The 26,316-nt window shown below is 40.7% G+C and overlaps 2 long non-coding RNA genes across 2 annotated transcripts in view, besides 2 other annotated features; one reads left to right on the top strand and one right to left on the bottom strand.

Annotated features, from left to right (window-relative positions):
- Positions 6,689–7,189: an enhancer, noted in NCBI's record as "H3K4me1 hESC enhancer chr16:51807679-51808179 (GRCh37/hg19 assembly coordinates)". NCBI's record gives its function as "activates a minimal SCP1, AML or CMV promoter by ChIP-STARR-seq in primed H9 embryonic stem cells {active_cell/tissue: H9 hESC(primed)}" and the evidence as "EXISTENCE:reporter gene assay evidence [ECO:0000049][PMID:30033119]".
- Positions 7,190–7,690: an enhancer, noted in NCBI's record as "H3K4me1 hESC enhancer chr16:51807178-51807678 (GRCh37/hg19 assembly coordinates)". NCBI's record gives its function as "activates a minimal SCP1, AML or CMV promoter by ChIP-STARR-seq in primed H9 embryonic stem cells {active_cell/tissue: H9 hESC(primed)}" and the evidence as "EXISTENCE:reporter gene assay evidence [ECO:0000049][PMID:30033119]".
- LINC01571 (long intergenic non-protein coding RNA 1571) lies at positions 8,311–18,438 on the bottom strand. The gene is made up of 3 exons (NR_110916.1): positions 18,382–18,438; positions 9,285–9,393; positions 8,311–8,581 (listed from the first exon to the last, which is right to left on the bottom strand). It is a non-coding gene; the product is annotated as a long intergenic non-protein coding RNA 1571 (long non-coding RNA).
- Positions 9,177–26,316, top strand: part of LOC105371257 (uncharacterized) — a 52,702-nt gene continuing 35,562 nt past the window's right edge. Inside the window, exons 1-3 of the long non-coding RNA XR_001752182.1 lie at positions 9,177–9,259; positions 14,304–14,368; positions 18,541–19,027. This is a non-coding gene — a long non-coding RNA (uncharacterized LOC105371257). The remainder of the gene's footprint in view (positions 9,260–14,303; positions 14,369–18,540; positions 19,028–26,316) is intronic.

The raw sequence follows: 26,316 nt of genomic DNA, 5'->3' as shown, positions 1-26,316 counted from the left end.
AGACTGGAATGAGGTGGTGGCACAGGATAGGGAGAGATGTGACTTTGTTGAAATAAATGTGAAATGAGAAACAACAGGATTCTTTAAAGACTTGGAAGTTGGGTTGTGGGAGAAAATAGAATGAAGTATGGCACATGGGCATCTGGTGTGAATAAAAGCACACAGGAAGAGAACAGCCTTTGAGAGTAGGGTGGCCATTTCCTCCGCAGCAACAGGAGAGAAGAAGGAGAAGGGATGTTATCTTCTGCTCCCACTGTTAAACAGATGGGGAAACTGATGCCCAGGTATGCTAAGTCACTTTCTAAAAATCACAAAATCAATAGGATCAAAGAGATCGCTTTGACTTCTTGGTTCACATTTCCTAACCAGTGGAACACATCAGTGGAACAAAAGGCGTCACTCATGTCTACCCATGATTGGTAGACATTAGGCTGTTCACCAAATATTTCTCTATTTCCTTCTTCCAAGCACTTGGCAAGACTGCACCTTCTTGCCTCCTTTGAAGTTAGGATAGCCATGAGATTTGCTCTGACCAATGAAATGCAAGTGAAAGTAGCAGGCATCACTTCTGGATGGAAGCTTTAGGAGCCACTGTGTGATTTACCATGACTCTCTCCCCCTGCTACTGTGATCACGGGAGCACAGGTTGAGGTGAAGCTTCCTTTAGCTCTGACCCCTGAGTGATTAATTAATTAATATGACTGGAATATATATATATATATATATATATATATATATATATAGAGAGAGAGAGAGAGAGAGAGAGAGAGAGAGAGAGAGAGAGAGAGAGAGAAACAGATTTATTTTGAGGACTTGACCCATGCAAATATGGGAGTTGACAAGTCTGAAATTGTAGGACAGGCCAGCAGGCTAGAAATTCCAGCAGAAGTCAATGCTTCAGTCTTAAGTCTAAAGGCAATCTAGATGCAAAACTCTTTCCTTATCATGAGACCTCTGTCTTTTTTCTTAAGGCCTTCAATTGTTTGGCTGAAGCCCATCCACATATAGACCTTGAGTTTGACCAGAACCATAGTCTACCCATAAAATTAACCGTCAGAGGGACTGTTTGCTACCATGGCACTAGCCTGTCACTTTTGACTAATACTTGCTCCTTTGCCTCCTCCCCTCCAAAGAGAATGGAGTTTAGCCTCAGTAGAACTGTCATTATGAGGATTCTGCTTTTTAAAGTATTAATTTAGTTCTTCCTTAAAAGTATGAGTTTTCATTTGTCCTCACCCAAGGAACTCTGGAAGGATGCTGGAGAATCACAGGACACACTCTCAGCAGGAGACAGATATATAGATGTCAGTTGATTCTGGTCACAAAATCCAAGTGCCCTCTAAAAACAGTAAACCGACATCCCAAATGATAAATAATCAGCCCAAGAGCCTTCTGCAAAAGAACACTTGGTCCATAAATGGGTTAATGATGATTCAGGTTCTCAGGAGAGTGCTAATTAAATAGTCATAGAAAGGATGTTCAAAATGATCTCACCGGGCTGTGGTTGCCATGGAAACCCATTTCCCTTATTTGTGTTTCTCTTCCCCCTCCCCAAATTACTAATAGTAATAATTTGGTCAGTTATTAAAAAAGACAAGGTATGGGCCATGTGAACCCAGGCAAGAAATGAAAAGCGAAAGTGAGAGAAAGGAGTGTTAAATAGAAAAATGGATGCATCACTGAAACAGTTTCAATTAGGTAGTAGGTTAATTCCTTCTCTTGGATGGGAATGTTTGGTTGTTTGATGTTGCAGAGAAAGTGCAGGAAATGCTCACAATTCAAGAAAGGAGGTCTTATTTTTTTTAAGGCTAAGGTCTCAGCTGGGTATGCTGGCTCATGCCTGTAATCCCAGCACCTTGGGAGGCTGAGGAGGGCAGATTGCTTGAGCCCAGGAGTTCGAGAACAGCCTGGGCAACATGGCAAAACCCCATCTCTACAGAAATTAGCTGGGCATGGTGATGTGCACCTGTAGTCCCAGCTACTCAAGAAGTTGAGACAGGAGGTTCACTTGGGCCCAGGAGATCGAGGCTGGAGTGAGCCATGATTGCACCGCAGCACTCCAGCCTGGGCAACAGAGCAAGACCTTGTCTGAAGAGGAAAAAAAAAAAAAAAAGACGACTAACCCTTCAAAATAAACCTTCCTCATGAAAGATTCATACATCTATTTGAATGCATAAAACTCACTTATGCCCACAAATCATACACACAACCTTATCCATGACCATGCCCTCCTGAATTTCATATCAGCACACCACTATCTAATTGTGTCTTTCTTGATGTCAGCATGTATGATTTGGATAGTAAGCTTCTAGCCTAATGGGTCTTAGATATTTGAGGCAAATAGACTCCCTTGAGAATTTCAGAAAATCAGCCATCTCCTCAAAAAATGCACATGGGCACATGCATATAGAAGTCGATCTCATGGGGTTCATGGGCCTCCTGAAATCGATTCAGTGACTCCAAGTTGAAAATCAGTGTCTTAAAGGAAATAAATTGTGTAGATTTACAGATGTTAGACTGATGTGGGATGGGAGATAATTGTATTTTCTGGTGAATGGCTTTCACCTTGTTCTGAAACAACTTTCCTACCTTAATAAACACATTAGTTATTTTTCTTGGGTGATGGTGGTGGTAACGAGTTCAGACTCTAAATGCACTTAGTAGGAACATTAGTGGGAGTATTTTTACTAAGGTTCCAAATGACAGTAGATGATGTAGGTGTATACGGTTGGGCTGTAGATGATCTCAGCCTGGTAGAGATGAACTCCAGGAGCTGTAACCACAAAATTCCCTAATCTTTCCTCTACTCCCCACAATGTATCTTTTTCTCCTTAAGGTACATTACAGAGACAAACTTTGCTTAATTGAGTTGCGTATTTTCATAGATCTCTTAGGACAATGTTAGAGTGACATAAACAATGTGTAATAACGTTTCCTCAGGGGAAGAGAAATGACTAGTATTTATTAAGCCTCCACTTTGCAGGAGGCACCTATCTCATCCTCAGCCTCAGAATTACGTTGCATTTTTCCCATTTTATAGATTAAGAAACTGGACTTCTGAAAAGTGAAGTAACTCATTCCAACTCACTTGACTGATAAGAGCGAGGAGTGGTATTTGAACGGAGGTGTTCCTGGGTGCCATTCTGAGGTGCCATCACACCACACTCCCTTCGGAAAATGAGGTATAATATCAGCATGGAAGGTGCTTTCATAGGGGAAGGCAGGCTTCTTTAGACCCCTTCTGGAAAAAGTTGCAGACACGAAGATAAAGAATGAGTGGAAAGGCATTGGGTAGAACATAAGATTTGTAGTCCAACAAAAAGAAGTTCTTACTACCATATGCATTATTTACCATCTATAAGCCTCAGTTTCTGTAACTATAAAGTAGCAATTATAATAGTACCTAGGTATAGGATTTTTATAAGGTTTACGGAAAATAATGTATTACAGAAAATAAGGTGCCCAGCACCATGCTTGGCTCATGATAAGGATTCAAATATTGATTCATGTTTTTGTTTCGTATAGAAGCTTCCTCTGCCAAAGCCGTCTCATTAGGATACACTGAAGTCTTGAGGTGAGAGAGATATAGAGAAGGGTGATCTTTGTCTTGCTGAGTTCTGCCATGGGCAGCAATTGAGGTCCCCTGGCCATGTGGATTAAACTCTAAAGTTCTCCCCAGATGGGGTGTGGTGGCTTACACCTGTAATCTCAGCACTTTGGGAGGCCAAGGCGGAGGATTACTTGAAGCCAGGAGTTCAAGACCAGCCTGGGCAACATAGCAAAACCCTGTCTCTAAAAAAAAAAAAAAAAAAAATTAGCCAGGCATGGTGGCATGTGCCTGTAGTCCTAGCTACTCCGGAGGTTGGGGTGGGAGGAACGCTTGAGCCCAGGAGTTTGAGCTATGATTGTGCCGCTGCAAGTTAGCCTGGGCAACAGAGCAAGACCTTCTCTCAAAACAAAACAAAACATAAAAGGTATTTCCAGCTAATTGGTAGTAACATTATCCACAACCGCTCAGAATACGTTTGGAGATTTTCTATATTTTAAAGAGCTATAACTTAATTTATTTAACACGTATTTTAAACATAATTTCCCCTTATTATAAAAGTTATATTTGTTCAATTTTTAAATTAGCTGCCAACATATAAAATTGAGTATTTTATAGAACATAGTCAAATTTCAGGTTTCTGTCTAAAACTTAGAATTCTAGAACTAACCCAGACTTCATTCCCTCAACAAATACATGACCCAGAGCTAGTGCCATCACTCCCTACTACCTCTTAGATGTAGTTCACATCTCTCATTCATATTGTCTGCTGGAAATTACAAGAATTTGAATCCTTACAGTTTGAGGGTCACAATTCTTGATTATCAGCCTGATCTTTTTAAAAAATAAATATTCAAGTTACTTGATCAGTAAAAAGAGACATTTGGAAATTTCAGTTATACGCAGGAAAAAAAAAAAACAGTTATTTTATACTTATCCATCCCTGATTTTCTCTCTTGTTTAGCCCAGAAGAAAGTAAAGAAGGCTGCTCCTAGTATTCATAAAGTTAAATGTAAGCAATTATATTTTGCCTTACAAAATATACCTAATACATTGTAATGGATTGAATCATTAAAATATGTATAAAGTCATAGAAAAAAGATGAGAAAATAGACACACATCCCACTTTTGCTTTAAGTTAGGTCATTCCTAAAAGATGCTGCAGGGCTGAGGACAAGTTTCTGCTTTAGGCAACTCTGTATCACCTGAGTTGGGAGGATCACTTGAAGCCAAGAGTTCAAGACCAGCCTGGGTAAGATAGCAAGATCCTGTCTCCAAAAAAATTAAAATAAATCAACTTAAAAAATTAAAAATTAGCCATGCATGGTGTTTTTTGGGAGGCTGAGGTGGGAGGATCACTTGAGCCCAGGAGTTCATGGCTGCAGTGAGCCATGATCAAAGAACTTTAGCAATTTCTTAAAATGTTAATGAAAAAAAGTTAAAAGAGGGCAAAAGAGAAGTATCCAGACACTGTGTCATCTCTGAAATCAACCAAGAACAACAACAAAGAAAAACAAAAGAAGAATCTGCTTCTGTGAAATTATAACTCAGATGACGGTCACCAGGTACTTGGAAGAGAAGGAGGAGGTGGGAGGAGGGATACCACTAGAAAAATCAATCCTCTACAAATCTTGAATGGAATAAAGAGAATCCAGGCCTTGCCAGGGTAGGGGACACACACACACACACACACACACACACACACACACACACACACGAATTTTTTTTAATATAGAAAATGTTGGATAGAGAGAAGCAAAAAGAATAAATAGAATAAATTACAATTATTATCTTTAGTAAGATTTTTATTTTGCTTTCTTTTTTTTCATTTGGCAAAATATTATGACAATACTTATTAAATATTATTTACTACAGAAACATTTTAAATAATTGCTTAATCTTCTTGTATACATACAGGATTATTTTTTAATGTTTTGAATATTGCAAACAACAGTTTGCAGACATCTTTATAGCTAAATCTTATTTATATCCAGGGTTATTTCCTTAGCAAAAACTTCTAGAAGTGGCATTGCTGGACTAATAATCATGCCCGTATCTAAGCTATTATCTGTAAAAAGTTGTACCTATTTGCATTGTAATCAGCAGTGTGTGAGAATTCCCATTCTTCCACATCCTAACTATTACTGAGTATTAAACATTTTTAAATGCTGTTTGGTTAGTATGATGGTTAATACTGAATGTCAACTTGATTGGATTGAAGGATACAAAGTATTGATCTTGGGTGTGTCTGTGAGGGTGTTGCAAAAGAGATTAACATTTGAGCCAGTGGGCCAGGGAAGGCAGATCCACCCTTAATCTGGTGGGCACAATTTAATCAGCTGCCAGCGAATATAAAGCAGGCAGAAAAGGAGAGACAGGCCTAGCTTCCCAGCCTACATTTTTCTCCCATGCTGGGTGCTTCCTGCCCTCAAACATCGGACTCCAAGTTCTTTAGTTTTGTAACTTGGATTGCCTCTCCTTGCTCCTCAGCTTGCAGACAGCCTATTTTGGGACCTTGTAATCACGTAAGTTAATACTTAATAAGCTCCCCTTTACATATATATCTCCTATTTTTTCCCTCGAAGAGAACCCTAATGCAGGTAGGTAAATTATTTTTCATTGCATTATTTTTCTTTTGTAAATTATCCGTGTTAATCTTTTTCTTACAAAGTTGTTAAAACTTTTTATATGTTGAGCATATTGTATGTATGTGTGTATATATATATGTGTGTGTGTGTGTGTATATATATGTATGTATATGTATATTTAAATATGTTACCCAATTTGTCCTTTCTTCTTAGTCATAATTTTTGGTATGTTTTGATGGGCAGACAATTTTAGTATTTCCGTAGTAAACTTAATTCATTTATTTTATGATTATTGCCTCAGGACTGATGCTTTCCCAATTCAATATTGTATAAATATCCACCAGCATATTCTTAGAAAATAATCATTTCGTTTTTTATATGTATAAATATATTACATCTAAAATTTATTCTTGGTTTTTCATACTTATAAATATATTACATCTATATAATTGTTTCCTTTTAATACTTATTATTAAACCTCAAATTTATACTTTCACTTGTATGACTCAGAGACTACCTTTTGTCTCCTCCCCTAAACGAATAGGCAGTTGCCACAATACCAAAATATTGAATAATATACTACATCTTCCTTTTATTTTTAAATGCCACTTTTATCATACACAAACTTCTTATATTTACTTGGGAATATTTCTAGGACTTCTATTCCGTTTCATTAATCCTATGCCACCATTACCATAAGATAGTCTTGCTCTGTCGCCCAGGCTAGAGTGCAATGCAAATAGGTACAACTTTTTACAGATAATAGCTTAGATACGGGCATGATTATTAGTCCAGCCTCTGCCTCCTAGGTTCAAACAATTCTCCTGCCTCAGCCTCCAGAGTAGCTGGGATTGCAGGCATGCACCACCATGTCTAGCTCATTTTTATATTTTTAGTAGAGATGGGTTTTCGCCATGTTGAGCAGGCTGACCTTGAACTCCTGGCCTCAGGCGATCCGCCGGCCTCAGCCTCCAGAAGTGCTGGGATTACAGGCGTGAGCCACCACGCCTAGCCGACTTTGTAAGATATTCTAATGGTGGTAGTGAAACTGGAAAGTTTCCTTTGTCCCCCCTGCAGGGCATGCGCTGGGGGTGTGGCTAGCTTTTTCAGCCACCCGCTCCTCAAACCTCCTAGGGGAACGTAGACATGGGCAGACTGTGGGCCTCCGATCCAATGGCAGTGCCTAGGGATGAATGTTTACAGCCGAAACCCAAGTGGGCGTGTGTTACAGGGTGCTCTTTTGGTTTGCTGTCTATAGGCAGCTTGTGTTAACCAGTTCAATTAGACCCCCTTCTTTATCACAAGGACAGAGGGCTTTCTGTATCCCGGGAATGGATCACACATGGGCTTGGAGAATGAGTGCAAGGTTTTATTGAGCAGAAGTAGCTCTCAGCAGACGGGGGAGCAAGAAGGGAGATGGTTTTCCCCTGGAGTCGGGTCCTTTGGCGGCCTGCTCCAGTAAAACTCTGCGTCATTCCGCCGTGTGCTCTCCACTACCAGCTGCTTGTGTCTTCTGTCCATGTGTTCTTCATGACGTCCAGCCGCTTTTGTGTCTGCCTGCTAGGGTCTTGGGTTTTTATAGGCCCAGAATGGGGGTGTGGCAGGCCAGGGTGGTCTTGGAAAATGCAACATTTGGGCTTGAAGGCAGAAGTGCCTGTCCTCACCTAGGTCCCTGGGGGTGGAGCCCTAGACAGAGACCTCGCCTTTCTCTACCCAGCACTTCCCTGCCCCACTTCCCTGTCATTTAAAGGGACCACGCTCTTCCCTTCCCAGCACTACCGGTTCAGTAGGAGAAATTTCCCTTTTTCTTCCTCTTTTCCAAGCATTCTTGATTATTCTTAAGCATCTTTTCTTCCTCCTAAACTTTAAGATTATTTTGTAAAGTGAAAAAATCATGAGAAATCAAGATCCATTTGTAGTCTAATTTGGGGAGGGTGTAATGATAAGTGTAATTAAATTATCTTTCTATGGCTCTGGACAAAGGGGAGTGCTCTTCTTCAAAATCATCCATGTTGGACAGATGTTTCTTTAAATTAAAAAAAAAACTCTTCTCTTGAGTACTTTTTAATGTCAGAGAAACTGTGAATATAGAATTGTTCTAGTTTTAGATTTCTTCCTTTTTACGAGCTTTCTTATAGCAAGGCATGAGGAAGCGGCAGACACCCACTGGAAAGATTAGCGAGAGAAAATTAAGTTTTATTTAGGAAAGAAAAGCTTTAACAAAAAGACCTGGAAAGAGATCCCATTTGGGGCGACAGCTACCTGGACAATACTCTGTTCTTAGGATGTGGCCGTCTGGTCCTCTCCCTTTCTTCTTGCTATGCTCCAAAGAGCAAATGTTTGGCATTTAGGAGTCTTTTTTTTTTCTTTTTCTTGAAAAGACATACATCAATGATTTTACCATCGCTTTGAAAACTAATCTTCTAAGGCCAGAGAAGAAATACTTCTGAAAAAAAACAAACAAATTAAATTGTACTTTTTTTAGATTTTATTATTTAGGCTGTTATTTAAGAATGGTGAGAAAGTTTTACAGCCTCATGGAAAAGAGATGTAGCATTTCTTCCACAAACTATCAAAAGTAGTGAATCTATTTAAATCATAACATGATACTTTCATAATTGTGTGGATGTGTGTGGAAAGGAGAGTGGGTAAGGCCGTTTTGAATTTGTAAAAGGAGTGGAAACCTTCTAAGGCATAGATAAAGATGTATCACATGTGATAACGTTATATCCTGTGGTAAAAATCTATTATGAAAAAAATTACAAATAGTACTTCTGGGAATAAAATGATTGAGAATACAACCTTTAGGTTTAAAATCAATTTTCCACTGTTATTTTAGAATAGATCCAATTAAAATGCAAAATTCTTCAGCCAAGAGAGATGGTTTAGCATTAAACCAAATGCTAAAAGCTCTTACAATGCATTTTATTTATCCAGTTTAAGAAAACTCAGAAATGTCCAGAAGGTTGCATTCTTGATCCTATCATCATAATGGAAGTCTGATGCATTCTTTTTCAAATCATTTTTTACATATCAACAGGAAGACAGATGCCTTCTTGGTCCTCCCCTGGAATTTCTAGCCCTACTATGGATGTTTCTGTTTGCTCTGTTTCTCTGAGTGAGGGTGAGTGTCTGATGGTGAAATGTACCTAAACAAAACGCCAGGCATGTCCATCAAGTGATCCTTTTTTCAGTCCAGTAATGATGCCTGATACAGTGTTCACAGGATCATCTTTTGTTTTCTTAAATTGAAATGGCCTATGTAAGAGAAAGAGAGAGATTATGTTTAAAACATTTTGGCAACCATAGTGATGGGTTTGCAATACAAGTAACACTGTACCGATTAGGTTTCTCCACTAAGAGCTGGTTGTGTTAGCATATCGGATTTCCTGGAGTGGGACTGGCCACATTAGAAAGAAACAATCTCTACAAGGTTTTGACATCAGATTTTCTTTGACAAATATATGGGAGAAAAGGACCCTTCTGTAATTTTTCTCTGATGTTTACAGGTATCGCTGGTTTTGAAAGTAGAATAGATATGCAAATAGGAAACACCATCACTGAATTTGTTTCAGATGTCCCCTGTTTATGGACATACAGCATTCATTTGTTGTACCTGGTGGCTATTAACTGCTCTAATTGTGCTGTAGGCTCGTTAACAAGTTTGTTGAAGTTGCACATTATAATTTTAAAGGAGTTAATTGAATACTAATCCAATGCACAGCACAAAAATTATTTGAACCATTCCAAGGAAAGCCGAAAATCCCACCAGCTGCCTTGGTCCTAGTAAATCCCTACCCCTGTGAAACTGAGAAAATGAATATTCAATATTTTTTCCATTTGAGTCTCTTGACATTCTATTGATTCACTTTATTTTCCCAACAATGTTCTGACAGGTTTCCCAATGTGCATTGTGCACATTCTTTGATATTCATCTTGTGATTGCCTTTGAAAATGAGCACCGTGGCCAACTTTGGTCTAGGGCTTAGAACTCAGGAGCTCCAAGCCCCTTGCATCCCAGAAGCCAGCATATTCATAGAATTTTACTGTATTACTATGCAATCCTCACATCTGAGACACAGTCAAACATCAGAAGAGGAAGGAAGTTTGAGAGTGCATAAAACCTAAAATATGTTTGTGAACCAGGTTACTGCTCTGGGGGACTTAGAGGAGGGGACCAAGAGAAGTGGGAAATGTCTGAACCTAAAGATTGTGCTAGTGGACTGGGCAAGGTGGCTCAAACCTATCATCCCAGCACTTTGGGAGGCCAAGGTAGGAGGATTGTTTGAACCCAGGAGTTCAAGACAAGCCTGGCAACATAATGAGACCCCATTTCTACAAAAAATATACAAAAATTAGCCCAGCATGATGGCAGGCACCTGTGATCCCAGCTACTTGGGAAGCTGAAGTGAGAGGATCACCTGAGCCTAGGAAGGTCAAGGCTTCAGTGAGCCATAATCACACCACTGCACTCCAGCCTAGGTGACAGAGCAAGACCTTCTCTCAAAAAAAAGAGAGAAAAGAAAAGATTGTGCTAGGAAAGGAAAGTGAAAGAAAAGTAAATCACTTAGAGATGAAAAAGCAGGAAGTAAAAGTAAATAGATGTGGCAGGAAGGTAGCACCCATTTCAACAATTTTTGTGAAAGGAATAGTCCATTGGTTGTCAGAGAAGCGGCCTGACTCATACAGAAGAAAGAGAGCACAGGAACAGGTGAATCTCCTGTTGTTGCAGGATCTAAAAGCCAGTTGGTCGATATCATCAGTCTGGGGGTGCCATTACCACACAACTAGGTGATACAGGCTCTTTCTTTGCATTAAAATTGTGTCCTTTGTTAGAAGAGGGACCTTGCTTCTGTAAAAACTAGATGTTGACTAAGGTTCTTCAGAGTAATGAATGGGGTGTGCGGATTTTTCCCAGAGAGCCTCCTGATCAGCAATATGGTCTTCTCCATATGCTCTGTCTAAGCATTTTGTAACAGGAGCTCAAGTTCATTCATGTTTGTATTTCTTAGCCCCTAGCTATAAGCAATGCATGTAGTATACTCTCAATAATATTTGTAAAATGAGTGAATGAATGAATGAAAAGTACATGGTCTATAATGTAGAAAATGTCAGTTTGGCTTATCTCTCAAACAGGATTCATTTCTTTTCAGATGACAAGTAGCTAAGTTAAGCAACTGCCTCTCTATCTGTGTATAATTGATCTTATTGACTTTAAAGATTAAATTGCAGATAGATAGATAGATGATAGATAGATAGATAGATAGATAGATGACAGATAGATTAGATAGATAGATAGAGTGCTAGATAGATACACATTCTTTGACATATCTGATAAACCCAAGATGTGTTTAAATGATATCTTTGGAATTGCATCTTAAAGGTAGGATATTCTGTCCATTTATTTCCTAACCATTTTAGCAGCTCAGATCTCAGACTTCTCCACAATTTAGATCCCTGGTTAAATTAAGGAGACTGTTCAATCAAAAAATATCAAGCTGGCTGTTCTGACTGCTTGAGTATTGACTTCGGCAAACGGGCTGTGAGCTGAAACAAAACCTATCCGATGGCTTTCCTTTCTGCTGAATGTACTTAAAGCAATGCATGCCATGTTTAGAGTGTGATGCGATGATGTTCATGCACATTTCATTTTTATTATTTTTCTTGAAAAAAATCTGTAAAGGTAATGTAATTTTAATGCAGTGCAACTGAATTAAAATTAAGATTTTAATGAAAAATCTTCCTGATTTGTTTTCATGGGGTGGCAGTTGCATTTTATAAAACGAAAATTAAACATTTCGAAGGTATGTATTGCTTTAGTCTTTATGTAAGAGCTTTTAATCTGTGTGTCACCTTCTTTGATACAGTAGACTCTCATTTAATATTTGTGAATTAATACCTCCCCTCCCCTAATACTCACTATAAGTTACAGGAGGGCAGGCCGGGTGCAGTGGCTCACAGCTGTAATCCCAGCACTTTGGGAGGCTGAGGCGGGTGGATCACAAGGTCAGGAGATCAAGACCATCCTGGCTAACATGGTGAAACCCCGTCTCCACTAAAAATACAAAAAATTAGCCGGGAGTGGTGGCGGACGCCTGTAGTACCAGCTACTTGGGAGGCTGAGGCAGGAGAATTGCGTGAACCTGGGAGGCAGAGTTTGCAGTGAGCTGAGATCGCACCACTGCACTTCAGCCTGGGCAACAGAGCAAGACTCCATCTCAAAAAAAAAAAAAAAGTTACAAGAGGGCTGAGATTACATCTTCTTAATTTACTCACAATTCTTTGTATACAATAGCTGGTCAGCTTGCTAATGTTACATGTTTTAACTGCTACTGACATTTATTCATTATTTAAATTAAGAAGGTTCTGCAAACTATGACCCAACAGCCAAATCAGGCCCTCTACCTGTTCTTGTAAATAAAGTTTGATTGGAACACAGCCACATTTGTTCCTTTACATATGGTCTACGGCTGCTTCTAGCATGCAGTGGCGGAGTTAACTCTAACTAGTTGTGACACAGACCATATGGTCCACAAAGCCTAAATTATTTTCTATCTAGCATTTTCCAAAAATGTTTGCAGACCCCTGATTTGCAATGTGCTAGGCATTGTGCAGGCTTGTCATGGATCATCCCTTTCAACTTTCACAACAGTATGTACTACTACATGGTATGTACTGTTGTTATCCCCATTTTATGGATGAGGAAACTGGGCCACAAGGAGGATTTGCAAGGGATTAGGAGAGCAGGAAGCAGAACCCAGTTAGGCACGACTCCAGAGTCCAGGAATTCTTGAGTCTGACTGGAGATGGGTGGTGCGGTGCACCTCTGCTTCTCAAACTCATCACAAGCAGCATCTCCAGTCCTCTGGTCGGGGAGGGGTAGCTGGGAATGAAGGCCAGAAGGTACTATCTCCGGAAGGACAGGGAGAGGCAAGGGGCCTGTCTGCCTCCCAGGGCTGCATGCTGACACCTGCCATGCCAAGACAGAAAGCAGAGCTGCAGGCTACAGCTATCAACCTCCCTCCCACACGCGCGCGCGTCCACGGAGCTTAGTTTGGCACCAAGGTGTGAGCTCTTAGGCAACGTGGGAGCCCAGCAAGTCACACTCATGGTCATCCTGGCTCTATAAACACAAGAAAAGGATGCTTGCTTGGTGGCCTCTTGTGCTAGGACCCTCTGCGTTGGGCTTGGGCGGCAGTCTCCCTTAGAGAAACCATTTGCTCCTCCAAATCTGGGATGGAAAACTTTTACCTCCTACCAAGATTGGTGCCCCTTAGTCTGCAGAGGCTCTGATGGAATGGGGGAGAATTTTCAACTTAAGTCCTTAAAAAAAGGGAACAAAGAGGCTAGCAAACAAATAGCTGTAATATGAGCAGACTTCTTTCATTTGAATTTTTTAAAAAATATCCCTCTGCTAATGACTTGGTGATTTTCACAGTACTAAATGTGCTGACTTAAAAAATCCGTGGGAGGTCAATAATTTTCCCTCTGCCTGTCACTGTGCTGATTGTGGTCCCGATGCACCTTAATTACAACACCTACAGGTGGAGTATTATACAGTGTTTACATTAATCAGAATAGATTTACTGAGGGAAATAAACCTGCTGGCTTCCTTAGAGTTGCACTCTCATCAGGCAGCTACTGGGCTGGCCAGCCTGTGGGTTAGTGCCTGGGCTAGGAGCCCAGACCCCAGCCTCACAGCAGTAGGTAGGCTCAGAGCATCTCTATCCTAAACTGGTGTGCTGGTGCTTAGCTAATGAATCAACAGAAAGTTCTATTAATAGAAACTGCATTTCAGAATTTTGAGATCAAAGGAGGAAAGTGTGTGTGTATGTATGTGTGTGTGTGTGTGTGTGGAGAGAGACAGAGGACAGAGGGAGAGAAGATAAGAGATAGAGAGATTGTGCAATTGTTAGAGAACTGACTTCATTCTCTGTGGCCACGAAGAACGAGAGAATCACACATACCTTAGAGGCATACATTGCCTCCCACCCCAAGTCTTACATTTATATGAAGAGGAAGAGTAGAAGAGAAACTCTGTTGGGAATTAAAGAAAGGCTAAAGAAGATACACACAGCTGTCCAGTTGGGATGTGGGCAGAGGAGGGGTAGGTTTTGCTGTGTGTTTGTTGTTTTTCAAATTCATTTTTCTTTTGCATTTTGAATGAGGCTTTATTGTTCTTTGGATTTGAAGAGAGGCCAACAACCTCCACTGACCCAGGTGGCCAATATGGGTGAGTAGCTAAAGTCACCAGCTCTTTCCTTAATCTCTGTCCTTCACTTTCCTCATACATAAAATGGGCTTAATAGTAGTACTTGTCTCACAAGGTTGTCATGAAGTTTTATTGCAATAAAATGCATAAAGTGCTCACAATTGTGCCTGGCTCATAGTAGGTAGTCAATTACAGTTACCTATGATTATTATTACTATTACTTTTTAGAGATGAGGTCTTGTTTCAACACCAGGCTGCAGTGCAGGGATGCAATCATAGCTGACCACAGCCTTGAAAATTTACCTATTACTGTCAAAAGTCATTGAGAAGACGGACTGTTAGAGTCAATGAGACTTAGTTTCTAGTTCTGCCTCTACTAGTTAATAGCAATGTGATGTTACTCAAGTTTCTAAACCTTTCTAAGCCTCAGTTTACTCATCCATAAAATGGCAATAACAGTACCTATAAATGAGAATTGGATGCAAAGTACTTTGCACATAGTAAACCTTCATAAGTACTAGTTATTATTAGTGGCAAATGTGGGAACTTTCTAATCTGTAAGAAAGGGACAAAGCCCTAAGCATTTGCCTGATCAGGTTGTGAGGTCACTACCTTCTTCTCAGGACAGTACTTAATTCTTCAGTCACTGAATAGTCAACACCCTCCCCAGCACGCTGTCCCTGGGTTTTTGGTTATGTCTAGATTTGGCCAATAGAGTCCTGAGAGCACATCTCCATTCTAGAAAAGGAGCTTGCAAAACTGTAGCATGTACTTGAGAGGGAAAGCCCCTGGGATGCTCCAAAGATGAAGTGGAGGCGCAAGAAAATATTTCAATGAAAACAATTTGAATAGCATTTTTCAGAGCAAGGTCCTTGAATTGGTTCCATTCATGAAATAGAGTACATGAGGATTTTATATTTTCAAAAAAATTCATCCATTTGTCTTTGGGAGGCATAGTCCTGTCAGAGCCTGGTCTCCTTGGTGGGCACCACACCCAGCAGACACAAAAGCTTCTCCTGGCTTGAAGCCACCAGCAAAGGCAGCCTCGGCTTCTCCAGCACCTTGGCTCTGGGTTGAGTCTCACCTGTGTTGAATGGTTTCTCTGCAGGAGCAATTTTAAGGCTAAAAATAAAGTCAAAAGAGAAAGGAAAAAAAGAAAGGAAAATAGGGAAACATCACTCTTCTATCTCCACCTGGCCTCATGTACTGCTCTTTGACATTCATTAGAAAAACACAAAGTCCAAGTGGGAAAGAGGGAGTTCCCAGGCAAAACAAGATTTTGCTATCATTTGCAAGAACAGTCCTTCTTTCTGTTGCCCCTGACTGCAACCTTCCCTCGCCAGTAATAATGAGCCTGTGAAATGCTCATGGAGATCTGTTGTTAGGCTGGGGCACTTGGATCTAATTCTAGAAGGTTCAGATCTTCAGCCTGTTGCTTCTTATTTCACTGGTCCAGAAAGAGCCACTCAGATGATAAGACTGGCAGAAAAGAAGGGCATGGTGTAAACAAAGTCCCTGTCTCACCTGGAGCCCTTTTTGCCACTTGCAATTATATGGTTTCATTTCAGTGCTTGCAGCTGAAGCTGACCTTTCTTTGCATTACAGCTAGTTTCATTAACACCTTTTTCTTTTCTTCCTCGGTGTGAGGTTTTATACTTTGGTTTTGATGGCCAGATTGCTTTGGGGAGCACAGGCAGCTTGTGGCACCATCCTGGGCACAGTGGATACTTACAAAAGACTTAGATGCAATTTTTGCTGCTGAATTCCAGTTGGAACTTCAAAAACAGATGAGGTTAACAGAGTGCATGTCTGATTTTTAGAAACCTAGTGTTTTAGAACCAAAATGGACTCGAGGACTTAATAAGGAACTAACCCCTCCTTTTAAAAATAATGTAAGTGAGGCTCAGATGTCATAAGAGACATGAACAAGGACACTTGGTCACAGCATAGCCAAAATATAAGGTCACATTTTTGCCCTGAGGTTGGCCACAATATGGAATAACAGTTTTGCCACCAATCTTGAAGTCTCAAGATAGGTAACCAATGTAAGTCTTTGAAATAATGCATATTAGAGTATTTTAAGATTAATCTTTTTATCCAGATAAGATGAAATGGCTTTAGAACTTTTGCTTTAATAGGAAGAGGAGGCTAATTGGCACACTCTTTGCTTGTATCTAACTGTGTGCTTAAGAGTGTGAAATCACTTGGTAGAACAAAGTCCTTAAAACAATCATGAACAATGGTGATAGAAAAGGAAGCTGTGGGACTCCTCAGCCAGAAAAGGGTCTCTAGGTAAAGATTCACTTTGCCAGGAAACCTCACAAATTATAAACTAGTGGCATTTCCAGATGAATGGTATTTTACTTTATGGTTCTTTGAAGCACGCGTGAATCATTCTGAAATGATTATATGAAGAACTGGTTTTATGACGTGAGCTTATGTGGTACGTTAGCTCCCAGTTGGCTATCCTGGGGAAGCAAAGACAGTGTGGTTAATCGAGAGAATCAAAACTAAATTTCTAGACCTGATTTCTGACCCTAGCTGTGCCTCGAACCAGCTGTGTAACTGGGCAAATTACTTTGCCTCTGCCAATTTTGGTTTCCTGGCTAAAGATTTTTACTAGAGGGTCTCTAATAGGTTGCCAGGTTGAGAAGGAAAAAAAAAAGTAAGGAAGAAAGGAAAGAAGGAAGGGAGAAGGAAGGGAGGAAAAAAAAAAAACAAAAACAACACACAGGCATCCACTTAAATCTGAATGTCAGATAAACAAAGAATATCTTTTAGTGTAAGTATGCCCCACGTAATATCTGGGACATACTTACACTAAAATCAAACCACTATTCATTCTTTTTCTGAAATTCAAATGTAACTGGGTATTCTGTAATTTATCTGGCAACCCTAGGCCTCCAATTCTATAATTAATGATTCTGACTGTATTTGTTTCTAAAAGTGTATGAAGGAGAGAGAGAGAGAGAGAAGCAATCCCCTGAAAGCACTCACCAGCCGGTTGCTAGTCTGCAAAAGGACAGCTCATGGCATTAGAGTAAAAGTCTCTTTAGGCTGAGAGGCAGCCCTGGAGAAAACAACGCCCTTTCCTGATGACATAGGCCCCTCCCATGGCTGTCCTGAGAGCCAGACCTCTTTGTGGGCCTAGAGAGCTCTGTGCCCTGAACCGTCTCAGTGGCAGGCAGTGCTGTGCTGAGCGCCCTAAGAAAAAGCCTAGTCCCTTCCATACACAAAGACAATTGCAATTAATCCCTGTTGTGAGCCACCAGGCACCAAGGATCACAGAATCCTCACAACAGGGGCCTAAACAAATCATCCTTAGGTGGAAACCAGGAATGGATCCAGCCTCCCCTTTCTCCCTAAGTAATGTGGACATAGAGGGCATCCACCCCAACCTGTTTGTTATGGGACTGGGTAAGAGTGGGAAGATAGAGCAAGATAGAGAGAGGAAGAGGATGTGAGATGCTGGAAGTCAGTGTTGCAGTCAGTTAGCAAAAGGCCGGGTAGTTAGAATTGGGATACCGAGATTTCCCCCACAACCTTAAAAAATAATTGCAGGTAACACTTTATTCTGTGTTACAGTGAGGTCCCTCCCTTAAGCATAATGACTGCTTCTTTGGTCCATTTAGTTTGGGTCTTTTGCAATTTATCAGAGATGAGTTCCCTGGAGTCTGGGATCCCATTCAAAGCAGTGTGGGCGCACGCATAAGTGTGTTGATTGCATTTCCACAATCCTCAGATTCTGCCCTTGAGAGGGGCTGTCCCTCCACTGATTCCTGGAATGGATGGGCAAACAGAGCCCCAGTGTCTCCAAAAGCACTTCAGAATCCCCCTCACCACCACCGCCACGCCGCCAGGAAATGAATTAACCTGGACACCCAGACAGCTGCCATTAACTCGACCTCCCCTCCATAAAGAAGCACGCAGAGCCGGAGTGTAAAGAGGATATGGTTAGGATACGATGTTTAACAGAGAGAAAGAAAGGAGGAGAAACAACTGTTTGCTTTAGATGCAAATAAACTCAACTTCACCTTTAAAGCTGAAAACCTGTGCCCTTGGCAAGACGTTTGGGGACTGTTCCAGAGATATTAATCTTCCTCCGTTTACATGTTAAATAGATCTTTGGAAACGGTTTCTCCAGCACTGTTTTTTCTCTCCGGCACAATCTCCTTCTCTCTTTCTTTTTTTAGTACAGTCAGGACTCCCCAGCAGCGAGAAGCCCCGGGGGACGAAGGTGGAGGCACCAAGCCGTGTGGATTTCAGAGCCATCCGCGGCTGCCGGCTGTTGGGGCGGCCAGGAGTGGCCTGCCAGCAGATGGCGCTGCGCCGCACGTTATGGACCCTCGTGTGCCCGACCGGCTCAGGGAAGGAGACAGACGGCTCAAAGTTTCTAGTGCCATTCCTGGACTGAAACAAATGTTTGTGGAATTAAGTAGTGATTTCCTTTAGTGTGCGCCACTCTTACTGGCTGTGTTTTCAGGCCTAGATGTTAACATATGCCACATATTACTTTTTTTTTTTTTTTTTTCCTGGTGAAGTCAGGGGTTTCCAAGCACTCAGCCTCATCCTAAGTGTTCATGTCAACTAGCAAAGGTCTGCATTTTCTGATAAAATAACTTATAAAACTTCCATATTAAGAGCTAAAATGGTTTGGAAGACAAAGAAGTGCTGAGAAATGTAAGTAAACAGAGCACCTAACATTTTGTCTTTCTAAATAAACAAACGGGGAGGGAGGTGTTCCTTTATTAGGCTCAAAAATTACTCATGAGAGCGGCCAGGAGGAGATTCAAGGCATTCGGGAAAAAGTGTCTCTGGCTACTGGGGGGAAGGGGGTTGCATTATGTGATTGCTGGAAACACTGAGGTGCAATGATCATAAATGTAGAATCGTGGAGAAAATTTAGGATATGCTCGGAACACCCAAGGCACAGCCAGAAGTCCCTGGGTTTTCAGAACCCAGTTAAACAACAATGGGTTAAGGGTGATAGGAATTGCCAGTGCAATTGCTTCACCATGCCAAGTGGCTCCATTAGTTAGGGTTCAGTATGTATTTAATGTTGCCATAAAATCTGTCTTCTCAAAGTAAACAAGGCAAGTCTGTGAGCATCTCCGACAAGATGTATGAAGCTTTGTTTGGGATAATGGATTTGACATGAGTAAAAACACTGGGGATTAAATGGACCCAGCACGGATAAATATGACTAATTGTCATCTCCTCGTATCAGCGTAAACATCTCTAGCACCGCATACTAGGGAGAGATGGTGGAGCAAGGGGGTTTGGGGGCGATTAGTCACTGCAGAATTGATTCACAACTGATTGATTAAGCAGGGATGGAGGGGAACATTGAGGCCTTTCCTTCCACATGGAGGTGAATGTCGCGTTTTAGAATTTCCAAGCATTTCTTGCTCAGATTGAACTGTGAGTCACAGCCCTAAAGAGTGAGTACACAGCTGTTCTGTTGTGTGTGTACACGGTAACTTTGGGCTTCTTTTTCTTAAATGTTCATTAATCTTTTAAAACTGGCAGAATGGCCCGAGCATCTTTTACACAAAAGAACAAGATCTGAAGTCTTGTCATGGACTTTTTAGAAGTTTTCAGCAAGCGACTCAATTCCTGTTTCTCTTAATGTACATAGAGATAATATTTAACTTTCCTCACCTATGTTACTGCTTTATTTTGTAAATATCGCTATGTGGATTTCTTTTTCTTAGATGATGAATACATATATCTAATACTAAAATACATTTTTTCAAAGTAAGCAATATTCTCAGGCTTTGAAACTTTCTCATTTGGAGCAGTAATTATATTTAAGGTCATTAAATAATCTGAAAGAGAATATTCATTTACTAACATATGGTTTTTAACATTTGATTCTGTTTTTTCTTTTTACCTGTTTTCATTTTTTAAGCTAAAGTTCAAAGACATTTTCTAACCAAATGTCATTTATCATATCAACATATGCTGTTTATACCGTGAATATAGTTAACGTAGTGAAATGAAACTTTAGTTGTGTGAAAAATAGCAACTTTTAAGGCTCACCAAATATTACAAACACTGCAAATTCTTTCTGTAATATCCAGAAGTTGATTTTGGATCAAAATTTAGAGCTGTCTTTCAAACAGAGCCACATTAAATTTAAAATTAGTCAAGGATTACAGTTTGCTATGAGAAATGTCTCCACCTCCAATATGAGCAAATGTCATCAAAGTGAAAGGGGAAAAAAAGAAAAGAAAAGAAAAGATGGGATTGTTTTGACACAAGTGAGAGAAGCTTAGTGTCGCTTCATTTTTAACCTCATTTCAAATTATCTTTTAACCACCCTGATATTTCTGCTTGGAGATAATCACATCTCATCAGCCTTCTCAAAACCCGGCAGCTACATACCCGGAGCTAATGCTTCTTGTTAAATCATATTGCTAAACAAATTGTTACAGCTCCCGCAGCTGACTGATGGAAATCAGCTTTGCTGGACAGCCTCTTTTTCTTTTCTTTCCATCATTCAATTTTATTTTCTTTCCGTGGGTAATTTTAATCTTCCAGAAGATGTTTGATTGTTTCTCCTAGAGAGGTAGGACATGAGTTTTAAAAATGTAAAAGCAAATCTGCCCTATAGGTGATGAAGATGGAGACCTGTTGCAATGCTCCTGGGAAAATAAACACATGGATTCACATCTATGTTTAATAGAAGAAAATCTTTCTCAGGAAAAGCAATAAAATGTGGGGACTTCAGGAGAAGAAAAGTTACCCTGGTTATAAACATCCACAATCAATTATTCCTAACATCATTTAAGAATTCACATATTGTTGAGGTTTAACAAACACAGCAAGGAAACTGGGCTTATTTATTTTAGCAGTTTTGCATCTGCAGATGTAAAATCAAAAGCTCCCTGCTTAACATTTGAAAAACTCCTATGTAAATGACTGACCGCCTTATCTTGACACAATTTGCCTCAACTTCACTTCCTCTCACTTCGTCATTTAATTTGTATGGTTTCCAAATCAGAGCCGACTATCATCTATTAGTCCCCCTGGTGACAGAGGGCAGGGTGCTGTTGTATTGGAGTTAATAAAGCAGAAACACAAGCCTAATTACTGGGGAGATAAGCCATGCTGGCAGGGATTCTGTCCTCCAGGTCTGGACCTATCTGCACCCAGACATTTTGGAGTGGGTCTGTGAGCACAAGGGCAGACACAGACAGCAGCAGATTGGGCTGCATTTGTTTTCACGTTAGAGGTGCTGATACATTTCAGGAATCACTTTACCTGGAAGATGGGGTGGTAAACTGCATCTACAGGAGGAAACAAGTGTATATCCATGAGTCAAATGAGATAATGGGGGCAAAGGTGTGTCATAACTGCAAGGGGCCAAATAGAAAGTGACATTTTTGTTACAAGAGCATGGATGTGTATTTAAATATAGTCTACAGACACAAGCATTAAATAGCTCCATGTTGAATGTGTGTGAGTGTGTGTGTGTGTGTGTGTGTGCGAGAGAGAGAGAGAGAGAGGAAGAGAGAGAGATTGCCTTTCTGATGCCAGCAGTCACATATACCATGGAATGTATCACCGGAAAAATTAAAATATACATAAATATGTACTTACAGAAGTACACACATAGGTATATATACATCGTATAACATATAGTATCATACCATACATAGCCTAATGACTCAAAAACCTGATTGAAAATTTGATTTATTGATTATTCACAAGTCCATGTTGTGTTTTTATAGGTTTATATTATGTGCATATGACTGTATCAGACATATGCAAATTGCATACACATATTGAGAAGTTTCACTATCATATATACGTTTTCATATGTATTTATGCAAGACTCAAAGCCTGTCATTAGAGCTGCTGCTTTCCCCAGTTTCCCTCCTTCCCAAGTAAACAAACAAAAAAGCCTACCTGTGTGCTTAAAATCACTAACATTTAAGAGATATTCATAAAAAGAGGAAAAAATGATACAGTTTCTGCCTCCTGATTTGGAGGGTTACAATTATTGATGGATACTGTAACAAAAACAGAAAACTGTGTTTGGAGAGGTGAATCTATTAACACAGCTTTGTCCAACAAATATTAAAATTGCAAAGTAATTTGCCCATTTGACAATAGCTAATGAACTTAAGTATGCAGAATGAACTTTAATAATTAAGGAAATTGTGCAATTAAACTGAAAGCAGCTGAAAATTACAAATAAAATTAACTCTCTGGCTTGGCAAGAATATCACTGCTTCCAATATCCAACCAGGTTGAATGTCTGGAAAGTTTCAAGTGACTGTCCGTTTTATTGTGATGACTTACCATAAAGATATTGACCTCATTTTTTTTTCTAACAAAAAAGACCACTAATAATGCTTTCCATGATATGTTTCTGAATTACCATGTGGTTGGAATGATAGGAAAAGTCTCATTGGCAGGGTGCATTTTAATTTTGATTTGAGGTTTATGATCCTATCTGTGTCTATTTTAAATTTAAGTGGATTACATTCAGCAAAGATCCTTTTACTATCCTGGCTTGGCTGTCTCATACTATTAGGCTCTATATGTTCAGCTTCTACAAATCTGTTAATACATAAAACCATAAGAAGCCTCTTATGTTCAAACCAGGTTAGACCGAAGACATCAGATTAATATTTGTTAATGTAGAAGGGCTCTTAATCAGATTTGCTTATTTCATGACAGAATGTTTCTGCAATTATCATAATTGTTGTGCTAAATATGTTTGTCTTTGTATCTGGCTTTAGGCATAATCTTCTCTCTTGAAAGCCACTCAATGTGGGACTTGAGATTCCTGCACAAAACCCAATTAATATTAAGATGACAAGCCCCGATGAGCTCCCAAAGAGGCAACAGCTGAACAGACTCTAACATTCTTAAGTACAGATACTTGAGTGATCAAGTACATCTGAGGGAGACACACAATTCAATAATCCCTTTCTCAAGAAAGTCAAGAGCCCTGTGAGATGCGCGGGAAATCAAAGGAACACATCAGAAAGAAAATGACGGGTCTGGTCCTGTAGCGTCTCTATTAAAATGCAAAAGTTATGGATTTTTTTCGGGGTGATGGGAACCTTTTCTGTTTTCATTGATTTCTTTTTATAGCTTGATGATTTCTCTAAGATTATCTTAAAAGCTTAAAGAAAAAAGGGGCCTCATCAAAAGGTATCTTACATGACAGGAGCATAGATAGTTTTGGTTAACATGATGTGGCCAAGGCGCGGCGTAGTCCGGGGAGAAAGAGACCTCACTCAGGCCTCAGCCTGGGGAAAGTCTGCTGCCTCTACAGCAAAATGAAATTTTGCGGCCACATTGGAGGCACTTGGAAAACCCATCCTGCTGGGCCCTGGGCCTGTTAGGAGGGACTGAGTGGCAGGCTGGAGCTACCTGGGCCTTCCCCAGAGACCGAGTTCTGAAGAGCTGTATTCGCAAATGTATTTCCATTTTCATTGTATAAAGCAATTGCCTTTCTGTGTTGACCCCCAATTTCCTAGGCTCATGAGTGACTCCTTGGATTTACAGCTAAATTCACTGTCCGGAGGTGACACCCTAACCCATTGATTTGTAATCAGAAATTAGTTTCCTGTCACTTTAAAAGTGAGGCGCTAAGGGGCAGTAAAAACAAGGCTGTCGGAGCTAAATGGAGCTAGAGTCCAGGCTCCGGGCCGTGACACACTACCTTTCGAATATATTTATTACGTTAAAAACCTCAGTAGTGCACTTTAAATGGCTGGTGACACCCTCTTAGGTGACTTATTGCTCTGTGAAATCAGTTTTGCAGAAACTCTTTCACATATGCCAAAAATAAAAACCACACACACAAAAAATACACATGCACACAAAACAGCAGTCCTGTGTGTGTGCATTACAATGTATCGGTACCAGTCCATGGAGTATCTGCTCACTTCTGTGCCCAGCATATCAGCGGCAGGAAGCCCCCACAGCGGGCAAGGAGCCTCCCTAGAGCTGACATGACTCAAAGTGAAACCAACCAACGTGGCCCTTGCTAGTGGCCTGATAAATCTGGAGGAAGCATCAAGGCCACCTGCCCAATTTTGAGGTCTGTCCCTGGCGAAGAAGGACTAGTATATATGATCACGTGTCCCCCATAGGCAAACACACATCCACACTCCACATACCTCCTACGTGTACCACCTGGACAAGTCTTTTTAGATCTCCGCTTTATAGCAAACAACAGAGAATAGGGATAATGATCATTGAAACTACCTAGTCTGGGGTAGATTTAGATTTCCCCAAACTAGCCTGACATTTTCTAAGATGTAAGTGCTAGAGAATTACTGAGAAACTGTTTTTATAGATTCCTCTTGGAAACAAGAAACACATCCTAAACAAATCCAGCTCCTGGCTGGCCCCAGAGTCCCCATTTCTTTACCCTGCTTGTCACAAGGCAGGATTCCACCCTCACCCTGGGAGTGATCTAGGAGCAGTGCACCGTTGCATCAAAATAGACTCTTTGCCACACAGGCCTGGACAATCCCACTTACAGAGTGAATTGCCCCAGATTGTGAGATATTTGAAACAAAATGTGTCCCTGTTGCCTTCTGGGGTTCCTGCTAATTAATATTCAAAAGACTCAAAGAGGAAAAATGGATACCTAAATCATACATATGTATATGCCTTTTAAGCTTTATTATAAAGGCAAAATAACCCCTTACTTGGTTAAAATCCAACTTGAGTCAACATACAAAGGTGACTGCACTGTAATCCTAGACATATCTGCATTATGTAGGCATGTTACTGCGCCACCAGAATCTCTCAATAGTAATTATTATGCCAAGCACCCTGTTGGCACAATTACACTAAAGCTCTAATTAGTAGCGGTAAGATTAGAACCCCTACATGTTAAATCTGTAGAAGCAACGCTGAGTGAAGGATTTAAAACAGTTTCAAAACATTGTATTGTCTTTATTACAGTCTTTATACTTCAGTAAAGAAGGGTTTTCTATAAAATGCACTTAAAATAATCTGGTCCTGTCACTAAAAATAGGAAAGATAAGGTAATTGCAGTCAAACCTAGTGAGTCGGCTTGCTACCTAGGTGCATTAAACCGAAAATGACAAATCCAGTGAACTCCAGTGGGAGATACATACTTCCTCCCTGCTGGACGCATTGGTATTTTTCCTACCGTCAGCCCGAGGAATGCGCAGGGACCATACTTGTCACCAGCCTGCCTTCCCAGCTTGGCTTTTTCATTACCTTGGAGAAAGAAGCCGGGAGGCAGGCCAGTTGCCTCAGGAGCAGGTCTTCCTCACCAATCTGATTCCAGCACTGGGAAATTTACCTGTCTCCTTAGTGACTGCGACACCCACATCAAACACAACACAGAACACTTCCCTCCTGAGACACGAGGCGCAGCAGGCAGCCTAGCTACCTGCTGGGTATGAAGCTGAAAGTCTGGATCCTGGAGCCGAGGCCCCCAGTAGAAGGGGACCCCTGGGGCTGAGGCGCTCACCTCTCACTGCAGAGGTCTCAGACAAGCTAAGAGTAGGCTGGGGGAGCGGGGCTGCAGCATCCACCTGAGCATTTGAGAAAAGCAAAACGGCCATAGGGAGTTACGGTCACTCTCAAGGAGAGGAGAAAAGCAGACGTGGCTCACCAAATGCCAAATGTATATGTTTAGATTGGGGAATCTTTTGATTGGGTTTTCCCTTGAAACTGAATAGTCACAACTTCATAAAATGTTTTAAGGGAGAAAACCTAGAAGCTCAAGGGGGGAGAAAGAAACAAAGTCATTTCATCTGCCTGGTAGTTTCCCACTCACCCCTTCTAATCCCCCAGCACCTTCCAGAAACAAATGTGTCTTGATCCTCAGCAAAGATTGGCAGTTGAGGAGTTCCAGACCAGGGCAGGAAGCGTCTTCTCTGTGTCCTGCTTCCTGTCCACTGGTTCGTGTGCCCACCCTACCCCAGTTACCTACAATATACCTGCCCCGGTCAAGTAAT

This window comes from Homo sapiens, chromosome 16 (assembly GCF_000001405.40).
Source record: "Homo sapiens chromosome 16, GRCh38.p14 Primary Assembly".
Lineage (NCBI taxonomy): Eukaryota > Metazoa > Chordata > Mammalia > Primates > Hominidae > Homo > Homo sapiens.
The sequence above is the reverse complement of the archived record's forward strand: the minus strand, read 5'-3'. Positions and strand labels throughout refer to the sequence as shown.